Consider the following 12,920-nt stretch of genomic DNA (forward strand, 5'->3'; position numbering starts at 1 on the left):
GACAAAGTTTTAACTTCCTCCGATCACATCATGTTACTAATCCAAAGTCCCAGACTGTCTCTTCCTCTGAAGTCCCACAGCTTTAGTATGCTGCATGTGGGATTGGACCTCAACAATTGCTTTCGGATCAGATCTCACTCATCATCTTTGCCCTGGATGAGGCTCTATTCAGTCTTCTTGGGTGTGTTACAATTTGGCACAAAACATCTTGTCCACATATATGTTCCCCCCAGGGCTGCCTGCCCCCCCCCCACCCACCAGACCCTCACACACAGCCCTTTTGGACTTGCCACAGCTCTTTCCACAAGGACTCAGAGTCCCTCAGGGGAGAGCACCCCCCAGAGTTTTGAGCAACATTGACTGACTGGCTGAGATGACCTGGGACAGCAGGTCCCACTCTGCAAATGCATAAGAAGAATCACTGAGGAGGCTTGAAATACACACATACACGTGCACACACACCCACACACACACACATGGCCTCTGACATCTGACCCCTCAAAAGGTCTCATTTGTAACTACTGGAGTGGGGGATTCTGACAAGTACCAAGTTTGGGAGCCGGGATCTACAGTGTAGTAAACAGTGGCAGGTACAGAGTAGAGCTGGAGGAGAATGAGAGCACGCAGTCTGTTGCAGACAGGGATTTCATAAGACTCAGTGAGTTCTTCAGTGCAGTTTCAGACATGCCTGCCAATAGGTCTCCCTCCAGAAGTTGGTTCTCCAAGAGTTGTATGGCTCAAACAAATGGTATTAACCATGGATAGATGCTAAAGATGAATAGAGGTTGAGAATCTGCTTCCTCACCACCAGAAAGAGAAAAAAGGAGGTGTCACTTGGTCAGAGCCACCTTGTTGATTCATTGATGGTCTCCTTTGGGCCTCTGTCATGGCTGCACACTAGAATCACCTGGGGAGCTTAGACGGCCCATGTCCAGACCTCAGGTCAGTTGAGTCAGAATCTCTGGGCATGGGGCCCAGCATTGGCATTGTAAATATCATCTCACCTCAGGCAACCGAGCCACAGGGAGTGTTTGAGAACAACTTGTCCACCCTGCATGCCACTGAGTTGGGCACCAGCAAACAAAGCTGAACAGACTAAAGCCTGCCTCTGAAGAACTTGGAGATGATAGGGTGCAGGTTTGCAAACACGTACTCCAACGGGCTGCAAGAGCCCGGGAAAGGAACTCAAAAGAATCCTTCAGGAGAAGGTGGTGAGAATAGGCAGCCACGAATGAGTAGGTTCTGTGCAGGGACTCCCCAGTGATGCATGAAGGAGCGTCCCTCTTGTTGAAATAGGACAAGAGAGTGAACCAACCCCTACAAGACCAAGAGTTCAGGCTAGGGAAAAGCCTCAATTCAGCTGGGTCCCAGATATGCTTTTGCTCAAGCCATCCTGAAGAAAGAATTCTTGAAGCTGTCTTGACAGGGGACCTGCTAACCTCTGCTGAGAACTCCCTTACTGTACAGGAGTTTTATCCCCCTGAGCTAACCTCAGGCAACAGCCCAGACCTGTCCTACCCTTTCCTGAACCAGCTGACCCCCATCCCTCAGAACACGCCGGCCGTGGGAGGCACATTCAGGCTAGAATAGGCATCCAGGCAATGAGCCCCTTCCCTATAAGACATGACCAACAAACCACAAGGAAAGCAAATCCCCAGGAACACTTTTGTATGAAGGAGGGATCCCTGGCTTAAAGGGGCTGAGGACAGTAGCTGCTTATCCTCTCTGCAGGGTCCCCTCCACTGAATAAACAGAAAAGCAGGACTTACACACCTGATGCCTTTGGAAGGGGCATTAGGGGTTGTTACTATAATGGGGGCTGCAGTGGTTGGATTCCTGGTAAAAGATCATCCCAGTGAGTTTGGTAATTGCCAACCGGTATGTTACCCAAGACATATGCATCCTCTCATGTGGAGCGGCCAGGCTCATGGCTGGAATTTCAAGCACTTGCTCCAATTGTTTGCAGAGTTCTGGTCATTGGTATGCTCGGCACTTGGCCATCAACTTGACGCTAGGTTCTCATGGCTTGCTGTCCTATCAGGGACTGACAGCTTGGAATACAACCAACAGAGAAAATCCAATAAAAAGCCATTGTAGAGACTGATCTGCCACCATCCTGCTCCCTAGTGGCCCATCTAGGGGGTGGGGATGCTGGGTGGAGTGCTGGCTGATTTCCCAGAGGCTTTTTGTGTCCACTGAAGACTCCTCTGGACATTTCTTGTCAATCACAAACTCAACCTGGGGCCCACAGGCAAGCAAGTCTCCCATTATCAGACTGGAATACAAATGGGGTTTTAGATGTAAAGATCAGGTTTGATGGCATGTGATGCCATCAAACATGAAGGAGAAACCCCTTCCCAAAGCTCCATCACTCTACAAGTGAAAATTCAAGACTCTAACAAGGCTCTGTCTTGAGTTCCCACCCCCTATTCCCAGGCTTTGCCCAAAAAAGGAAAAAAGGAAGCTTTAAATCAGGTCACCCTAAATCCTCTTTAATCCTTGAGATTATCCATCTGGTATTTGTGTATTTGTGTTTCTGCCAATACAGTGGGATTTGCGTGCCCTGGGCCCTCTCTGGTTCCTGCTACAAGCCACAGAAGTGGCTTCAAACACCTGTCTCCCCTTTCCCCCTTTAGAGGTAATTGGAAAAGAAAAGCTTGAGTAGCCTCCAAAGTAGAAATAAGTAGAGTCCTCAGGGTAAGTAAGAAGACCCCAGGGCACAGTGAGGCCTCTTCCCACATTGAAACATGGTCAGCCCTGAGTTCCTGCCCTCAAGTTACCGGTGAGATGGTCTTCTTAGCAGAAGCCAAGTCTACCAAACTGTGGCAAAGTCCTCATCCTTCAGGTGAAATGTGGCATCAAGGCCATTGCTGGGTCCCCAGTCGATCCATTCTCATAACAGTCTCTGCTACTTATTGAGCAGTGACTAAATGTTCTCTGATGTAATCATGACAATCCCTTATAAATGGGTGCTGATCACTCATTTATGGCTGGGGAAATAGCCTCAGAGAGGTTGAGTATCGTACCCCAAGGTCACACAGCAGGAAGTGATGGAGCCATGATACCAACTCAGGTCCCCAGGCACATAACCATTCAGTGCCACTCACACATGGGTCACCATGCCATCATCATCACACTTTGGTTACACCCTTTGCCAGCGTTACCACTGCCACCTTCTCCACCTCCCATCCAGTATGTCCTAGCCTTCCTTTGTTCAACCAAAACATCTTTCCTAAATTTGTCCCTCCTGGACCAAATCTGACCAACAACCTCTCACTAGTGGAAAAGCACTGCCGAGAGTGTGAGCTGAAGCAGCCAGTCCCTGCCCCCCGCCAGCCTGGACCCAGGCAGACCGTCCTCCCAGCAGCTACCATGTGGAGATCCTTCCTCCTTCTTCTTTCTCCCACACTGCCTTCTCAAGCTTTCTGCTATTTTCTGGAGCTTTTCTAGTCGTCACCCAGATGACCTGGAGATAGTCCCTATTGGTCATGAGTTCTGCCCTTTTCTCTCCAAGCCACTCCAGAGAGACCTGTTCCCGTGAGTCACTGTGGCATCCTGGCCCATCAGCCCAGGGCTTCCCACAGCTCTCAGCAGCCTTCTGCTTTGTGTCAAAGGAACTTCGTTTGCCAAAGACTTGTTCATGTGTTGTCACTGGATTTATTTACATTTGCTACATGTCCTATTGGACTGAAGGACAGTGAAGGTGGCATCCCACTACCCACAAAGCCACCTCTCCCTGCCCCTCCAGAGTGCTCTGTTCATACCGCTGATGCTGAGATGGGCAGCCACTGAGCACGCATGACATGAGTAACCATTCCGTCCTCTTGGCCTGGGTTTCCTTCCTGGAGCAAAGGGGAGGTGGAAGCAGGCACTGGTTGGGAAGGTGACTGTCAGATTAACTCTGATGGGTAAAAATCCTCAGTCTCACAGCATCTGTGAGCAAGGCAACTCAGCCTCCTGTGAACCCCCTAATTTCCAGGCTGGTGGGTGGTTATTTTTCCTCCAAAGCCCTCAGCCAGCCCTTCCTCTCACCCAAGGGCTGTGGTTTGGGGCATGTTTTGACTTGAAACAGTCAGACCCATGGCGGTATTTGGAGTTGTAAGCCCCTTCTGTGCTAAAAGGAAAACATGAATGGTCTATTTAGAACCTGCTAACAATTCACAGTATGAAAAACAGCCAACAATTCTGCTGCCGAAATGCCGGCTTTCTGAGAGTAGCCCCAGGGGAGCTGGCTGTGTGGCAATTCTGGCCCCTACTCTGGAAGACCCTGCACTAGTGGTGGCAATGATTCCAGAATATCATGCCTCTGTCCTGGCTTTTTCTCAGCCTCTCCTTAACCTCTTCCCAGAAGGCTTTCCTCCAGGGGCCTGCGGTGTTCTTGCGCTGTGAGGGAGACCACTTTTCATAAACCGTATGAACTTTGCTCTGGACAAATGAGAGAAGGGTGAGTATTTGGGAGGGCCTCAGACAGATTCTCCTGGGCCTGAGTTGTTAGGTTTTCCCTCACCATCACAAACATACACAGAGTTCACCTGAGGGAGGAAGCTGGCTTCCTCTCAGGACAAAATGGCGTCCCTGGAGCTGTAGATACATTCCAGGATGTTGTCAGCACCAGAGAATGACAGAGGTTTTATTTATTTCATTGCATCCTAGGATTAAAAGGGAAGGTGTCAATCATAGGTTTGTAAATATTCAACCTAATTAAAAATAACCAGTTTACTGAAATACCAAAAGCTTGTTTTCAAAGATTATCTACAATTTGGAATGGCATTCATCTAATTTACAAAAACTGAATTTCCTCATAGATAACAAGTAATCCCAATAAAAATCCTGATTGGTTTTGTGTAGGAATTGGCAAACTGATTCTAGAATTTATGGAGAAATGAAAAGGAACTAGAATGGCAAGAACAATTTTGAAAAAGAAGAACAAATTTGGAAGACTGGCACTACCTGATTTGAAGACTTACTACAAGGCTACAACAATCAAGATAATATGATGTTACAATCGGTATAGACAAATTAATGGAACAGAATAAGCATCCAGAAATAGGCCCACACATATATGGTCAACTGATTTTAGACAAAAGTGTCAAAGTAATTCAGCGAGGGAAAGGATTGCCTTTTTAAAAAATTCTGCTGGTATAATTGGACATTCATATATATAAAGTGAACCTTGACCCTTACCTCAAACCACACACAAAAATTAACCTGAAATGGATCATAGTACTAAATGTAAAGACTAAAATCTAAAATTTCTGGAAGAAAACACAGAAGACAAAGCCTTTGTGACCCTGGATTAAGTAGAGATGTTTAGATAGCAGACAAAAATCATGAATCATAGAAGTAAAAATTAACAAATTAGACTTCGCCAAAACTTAAAACTTCTGCTCTTCAAAGACACTGTTGAGAAAAATTTTACAGACTGTGATAAGACATGTGCAAAGCATATATCTGACATAGGTGTATATATGTTTGCACATATTTGATAAGTATGCCCAACATCATTAGCCCTTAGGGAAATATAAGCCAAACCACAGTGAAATACCACTCCACACTCACTAGAATGGCTAACACTAAAAAAGACTAAAAGTACTAAGTGCAAGGGTGTGGAACTATTGGAACGTTCATGTTTTGCCAATGACAGGTGCAAAAATGGTATACAGTTGGCAGTTTGTGAAAAAGTTCAGCATTTCCTTAGTCAACCAGCAACACAATTCTTAGATATTTATCCAAGACAAAGGAAAACATATGTCCACAAAAGACTTGTATTTTAATATTCATAACAGCTCTGTTCATAATAATCAAAAAGTAGAAACCACTCAAATGTTCATCAACCAGCAAATTATTTAACAAATTGTGGTATATCCATATAATGGAATACTACTTGATAACAAAAAGCGATACAAGTGATATCCAACTCACAGATGCAGCAACATGGATGAATCTCAAAAGTATTTTGCTCAGTGAAAGAAGTTAATTACAAATGACTGTGTCCCATATAATTCCACTTATATGACATAGTGGAAAAGTCAAAACTGTAGGGACAGAAAACAGACCAATGTTGCAAAATGGGAAGGAAATTGCAAAAGAACATGAAGGCCCCTCTTGATTGTGTTGTAATTACATGACTATCCATATTTGTTAAAACTCCTTGAACAAATTGAACACTTTAAAGGGGCGAATTATATGGTATGTAATTATACCTCAATAAATCTAACTTTCAAAAAAAATGAATCTCCAAACTAGCTTGGATAATGGAAACTCACTAATTTGGATCCCCTTTATTCATATTTCAGTGACAATTTATACCCACAGGGGCCAAATTTTACATTTCCTCTATCTAAAAATCGTTATTGTTAAGTTTTTCTTTTTTTTTCTTTTTGGAGACAGAGTCTCACTCTGTTGCCCAGGATGGTGGTGTGCAGTGGCGTGATTTTGGCTCACTGCAACCTCCATCTCCCAGGTTCAAGTGATTCTTGTGCCTCAGCCTCCTGAGTAGCTTGGATCACAGGAACCCACCACCACGCCTGGCTGATTTTGTATTTTTAGTAGAGACAGGGTTTCACTATGTTGACCAGGCTGGTCTCGAACTCCTGACCTCAGGTGATCTGCCCACCTTGGCCTCCCAAAGTGCTGGGATTACAGGCATGAGCCACCGTGCGTGGCCTACTGTGAACTTTTATTATCCCACTAGGGGAAGGAGGAGAAAGATTCAAATTACTATGTACCAGGCCGGCATCATACCAGGCATTTTGTACTATAGCACAATCTAGTATAGTAGGATATGGTACCGTACAGTATGGTATGGTACAGTATGGTGTGGTAGGGTATACTGATTTTATCTGGTCTTTGTTATGGGCAAAATTGTGTTCCCCAAAATGTATATGTTGAAGTCCTAACCCACAGTACCTTAGAATAGAACAGTATTTGGAGATCGGGGCCTTTAAAGAGCTGATTAAGATAAAATGAGATTGTTAGGGTGGGTCTAATCCAGTCTGACTGGTGTCCTTAAAAGGTGCACGGGGGAAGGACTATGTGAAGACACAGTGAGAAGATGGTCATCTGCAACCCCAGGAAAGAGGCCTCAGAGGAAATCAACCCTGCCAACACCTTGATCTTGGACTTCTGCCCTCCAAAAGTGTGAGGAAATAAGTATCTGTTGTTTACGTTCCTCGGTCTGCGGTATTTTGTTATGGCAGCCCTAATCCAGCCCTGATACAGTCTCTTACAGTCCTCCCAACACACTAAGGTGAGATAGGCAGGGGAAAAAAGCCCAAAGCTCTGAGAGTGTCGGTAGCCTGCCCAAACTGCAGTGGCTGGGGTGGCAACCTGGGGTGAGACACGGGCCTGTCTGACACCCAGAGCTCACACTTCTGCCACATGCTGTACCCCCAGCCCCCCACCACCTAGATTGCAATTCTCAGGGGCTCAACTGGTTCTCTCATGTCTCTGAACAACCTGCACTGTGCTTACTTAGTAAATGTTGAATTGATTTGAATAATTAAAGATTTCAGGATGCAGGGACCTACTTTAAATATCCAGCTATTTTCCAAGGCAAATAAATATCACTGATTTTTACAAACTATGAATGTGAACATAAGAACTGAGAGCTTACCCACCCACCATGCCCTGAGTTCTGTGATTGCTGGGCCCAGTGACAGGCGTAGAGTATGCCAAGGGATGGCTCCCGGCCCTGCTCTCAGGCAGATCTTACAGGACCTGTGCAATGAATGCTGTGTTAGCCCCGATGTTCATTCATTCTGCAAATATTTATCAAGCACCTATAATAAAGCCAAAAGCCAAATTTTTTTTCTCTCAGACAGTTTTATCACTAGATACTAAATTGTTCTAACCTCTGGCCCATTAAAACAAAGGGGCTTGGCCGGGCGCAGTGGCTCATGCCCGTAATCCCAGCACTTTGGGAAGCCGAGGCAGGTGGATCACAAGATCAGGAGATCGAGATCATCCTGGCTAACACGGTGAAACCCCGTCTCTACTAAAAAATACAAAAAATTAGCCGGGTGTGGTGGCGGACGCCTGTAGTCCCAGCTACTTGGGAGGCTGAGGCAGGAGAATGGCGTGAACCCGGGAGGCGGAGCTTGCAGTGAGCCAAGATCGCGCCACTGCACTCTAGCCCGGACAATGGAGCAAGACTCCGTCTCAAAAAAAAAAAAAAAAAAAAAAGGTGGGGGGGGATTTGTGTTGTTCATTTATTTTGTTTTTTACATCAGATTTAATTTTTTTTTTTTTTTTTTTTTTTTTTTTTTTTGCCATTCTACCAAAGCCAGGTGAAGAAAGCAACCTGGAGTTGAAGGTCTTGCAGTTCAGAAGTGGAGAAGGATCTCTTTATATTCTGAGCATTTCCTGGAGGGCAGAAACTGACCTCGTGCTCATCTTTAGATTCTGAGGGCTCAGCAAATAGTGAATTTTTGGTAAATGTGTTTTGGACTTAGAACTAAATTTTAGATAAATCAACTGCTCAGAGTAAAAGGCAGCCACTTGGGGAAGTGATTAAATGCACGTTTAAAACTCAGCCTCTGGGACAGCCCGGAGCACTGGGCTGCTCTGAGAGGTGTCCTCTGCTCAGCCAAGGTAAGGACAGGGTGGCCCTGGCGACAAGGGGAGCAAAACTGGAAATGGGACTTGACGGAAAGGAGAGTAGGGGACCATTGACTGAAACTAGAAAATGAAGAGGTGGAGATGATTTTGTGCAGAATCCAGTGGAGGGTTTGAGAGGCCAGAAGGCTGTGTGCATGGAGATGTTCAGCCAGCAGCCTGGAGCTGTGGAAGGGAGCCATCAGGACTCTGGCTGGGGAAGGAGAGCCTGAGGACTCAGCCTGGCTCCTCCTTCTGCCTCACTCCCCCTCTTCACCAATTGGCAGGTTTGCTAATTCTACCTTTTATGTATTCTTAAATCTTTTCCTTCCTGCCTACTACTTGCAACCATATGTCCTCATAATCTCTTCCTTAGATGACTGCCTTCTCACAGGTCTCCCCTGCCAGCCTCTGCTCCTCTTAGATTCACCCTTCACACCATCACCAGTCACTTGCCTGAAATGAAATTCTCAGGATCTCCTTTGCCTTCTCAAAGCCTGTCCCATGCTGGAATCCCTCTCATTCTTCAAGACTCAGCACAGGCATCCTGTCCTCCAGAAGGTGGTCCCTGAAGTTCCCAGGCTCAGCCAGGAGGGCCCTGTGCACTTAAAGGTCATTAAGTGTCCTGTGTGACCACACCAAACTGCAATTGCCTAGCGGTTATTATGTCTTCCTCCCCTGTAGCCAACCCCTCAGAGCTGCAACCATACCTGGACGTCTCTCTCCTCAGCACCTATCCCAGTCCCTGGAGCATACAGGCATTCAGTTCTTCTTGGGAGGGAGAGAGAAAGGATGGAGGACGAGATACTAATCTTGAAACATGTCTGTATATGGTGGGGTAGCAGCCAAGTTTCCCATATCCTACTTGAGGGGGGCTTGGCTTCCTGCTGAGTCAGGAGAACTCAGGGCTAACTCCTGGCTTTGTCACCACCTAGCTGTCTGACCTTGATCAGGCTGTCTAACCTCTATGGGCCTCGGGTTTCTCATCTAATAAAGGGGTTGGGCCAGATGAACTCCACAGTTCCTTCAGCTCTGATTCTAAGGGCACCATAGGTCTCCTGACCATAGGGGTCTTGGCTGCGTCTCTGCACCCAGGGAATCACCTCCCAGAGCCTCTAGCATTTTCCCTGCCCTGAACCTACCTCCCTGGTCCCCTGACTTCCTTCTCCCTGAGCTGGAGAAGCCCATGGCAGCCTCATTAAGTGGCACTGACTGTCACAGCCTTGCCCATGGAGACTACCAAACAGTTTTCAATGGAAATTAAACATACTTGGCTTCTCTTCTAAGTTTAACCAGCTATTTTCTGGAGCCATGATTACTTTCTCATTAAGAGCAGAAGTCCAGATGGCCAGGTCTTTGGATCTTCTTTATTGTCTTCTTTAAAAGCTCATTAAATTCCTCTTCCCACCCACTGCTAGAGAGGAGTCCACCAGGCCTCTGGGAAGCCCAGTCCCTCCTCCCATAAGCAGCCCCTCCTCCCTGCCAAAACTGGGCAGCAACCTCTATGAATAATGAAGCCCTGCTGACCTCAAACCAGGCCACCTTTCCTTGGACCTGTGCCACTTGTGGAGACAGGAGATGAAGGACACAGTCTCTCTCCTCACGTTTCTCATGGTTTCTTTAAAAATGCAAGAAATAGCTATTGACGAAGATTGAGATAAGTTGCAGAATACACATCCCACTCCTGAATCATTCTTTTATCTCCCAACAGAATAACCCCCACTGGATAGGGACCTCGTCTTGCTCACTCACCAGTGGATTCCCTCCTCTTGTACATACCAGGCATTCAATATATCTGTTGAACGAATAAATAAATGTCATCTTCCTTGTCATATCCCCAGCTCCTAGAACAGCCTTTGAATCAACAAATTCTTGCTAAAAAATGAATGAATAATGAATGAATGAATGAATGACTTGCACAATGCTTTGAAAGATGAAGAGGAGTTAACCAGAAATGAAACAAAAAAGGAAAGGGGCAAGCAATCCCAAGAGCACAGAGGATAGCATTTGCAAAGGCAGAAGGAAGTGTGGAGCTTCCAGGGAACAGTGGCTTGTTGGAAGTGGCCCAACATTCTATCTGAAAAATGAGTTTAATCGAAGATTTACAGGAAAGTGGCAGAGGACAACCTAGCTTTTCTCACTTCTTTCCCTTCTACCATCAGCTTATCTCCTTTAGATCATTAACAAAGTCACAGGGACTTCATATTTCCACAATATTAACCTCAATCTTTGTTTGCAAGCAACAGAAACTTCAAACTCCTCAAGCTAAAAAGTAAGCAGGTGTCGGAGATGGTTCTTGCTATTTATCTATGTTTCTATGTATACATGTGTGTATGTCTGTATTTATATCTATCTCTCTCTAATCTTGAGTTTACTTCCTTCTGAAGTAACCTCATTCTCTCCCACCTAAACAGCTTCCTCTTTGCAACCAGGGGAACAGGTTTGCATGGCCCCCACAGTGTTGGAAGCACTCATATAACATCCAAATAAAAATACTAGGAGAGGGCAGGATGTAGTGGCTCAGCCTGTAATCCCAACATCTTGGGAGGCTGAGGCAACCAGATCAGTTGAGGTCAGGAGTTCTAGACCAGCCTGGCCAATATGGTGGAATCCCATCTCTACTAAAAATACAAAAATTAGCCAGGTGTGGTGGTGTGCACCTGTAATCCCAGCTGCTTGGGAGTATGAGGCATGAGAATCGCTTGAACCTGGGAGGCAGAGGTTGCAGTGAGCCGAGATCACACCAGTGCACTCCAGCCTGGGTGACGGAGTGAGACTCTGTCAAAAAAAAAAAAAAAAAAAAAAAAAGCCCAGGAGAGGATTTTGATTGGTTCTGGTTGATCATATGCCCACTCCAGATCAATCTCTGCAAATATTGGCCAGCCTGGGTCATGTGCCTTCCCATGATGGACAGTACTGTGACTGACAGACTCAAGAGAAAGAGAGGAGTGTTCCCCCGAAGGAAGAGATGCAAGAGATGCTGGGGAAAAATAAAACCACAGATCCCACCACATCAGCCATGCACACATCCCAAGCAGCCAGGTGCCATGTTGGGACACATTGTAGTCATGTCCAGCTGTCCTTATTCAGCAGAGGAGGAGGTAAGCTTTGTATATGTACTTTTTGTCTTACACTAGCCTCTTCTCTGGGGCTCAGTTTCTTCATCTGTAAAGTGAGTATGCTGGGCTAAATTCATCTTTAAAAGTCCCTTCCAAATAGGACAGTCTGGTATTTCTCAGAAGTTTACATTTCAAGGCTTGCTAACTTATCTTGGATAATGGAAACGTCTGTTTCCTTGATTGATTAATTCATGAGGTAAGCTTGGATATTTTATCTTTCTTGTTCTTAGTCATTTCAAAAACACTGGATGTAAGTTCAGCAAAGGAATCCAATCTCTTTCCCAAAGTAAATTTTTTTGTCTCATTCAGAATTGGGTAATTTGGATCATCCTCTTTGGAAGAATGAGATATTTGAGATGAAGTACTTTAGATCCATCCCAATTTTTAGTTCTTCGGCCCCAAATTTTATTATTTTGAATTGATCCTGGGAGCTATGGAAAGGGAAATCATTCCTCCTTAAGGTTATCTGAAACCCACTTGACTTTAGTAGAGAATATTTCAGGTTAGTGTCTGTAAGCCTGAAACTACTGTTGTTATTTTATATTTACTGAGCACCATGATGTCCTTGTAAGGTGCAGAGAAATCAGAAACACAGATCCATTAGCCATTCACAGTGCTGTGGGACTGTGTGCCTTTTCCGAGCACATCCATCTGCTCCTGCACCCCTAAAAACCCTGGCCAGAAGCAGGACAGATCCAGAAAACAGGGCACAAAGAAGGACTATGATGTACTCATAGTTAACAGCTAGTTGGGCATGCTAGAATATGAAATCCAAGTGTCTGAATTCCAGTTTAGCTCCCCTTCGATATAATCATCCCATCTCCCCTTCTCCTCCAACCACATTCAAAGCCTCCTTCTCCCAGACCCAGAACCAAGCCCCAACCCTCCCTCACCCAGCTCCCAAGGCTTGTTGATAATGTCATGACCCTGGCCACTGGCCTCACTGAACCTTTCAATCTTGCCTCCCACAAGCATCTTGAGTTGGCACTGTGACTTCCAGGCACCTATGCTATTTGCAGAGAATGCCCTTTCCTTAATCCAAGCCCAATAATCTAAATGTTTGACTCCCTGAAGGACCGTCTAACACAACCAAGCCTTTGTTTGATGGTGGAGCCTGCCTCCCCTCATACCCGTCAGCTGTCTGAGGCCCACGCCCACAGCCCCACTCACCTGCACACAACGGAAGACCTGTGCCTGTCTTCTACA

The 12,920-nt window shown here is 45.7% G+C and overlaps 1 long non-coding RNA gene across 1 annotated transcript; it reads right to left on the reverse strand.

Moving 5' to 3' along the window:
- Positions 1-3,637: 3,637 nt before the first annotated feature.
- On the reverse strand, positions 3,638-4,645 carry LOC124904468 (uncharacterized). The gene is made up of 2 exons (XR_007066767.1): positions 4,533-4,645; positions 3,638-3,842 (listed from the first exon to the last, which is right to left on the reverse strand). It is a non-coding gene; the product is annotated as an uncharacterized LOC124904468 (long non-coding RNA).
- Between the last annotated feature and the right edge of the window lie 8,275 nt (positions 4,646-12,920).

The sequence above is a fragment of the Homo sapiens genome, chromosome 1 (assembly GCF_000001405.40).
Source record: "Homo sapiens chromosome 1, GRCh38.p14 Primary Assembly".
In the NCBI taxonomy this organism is placed as follows: Eukaryota; Metazoa; Chordata; class Mammalia; order Primates; family Hominidae; genus Homo; species Homo sapiens.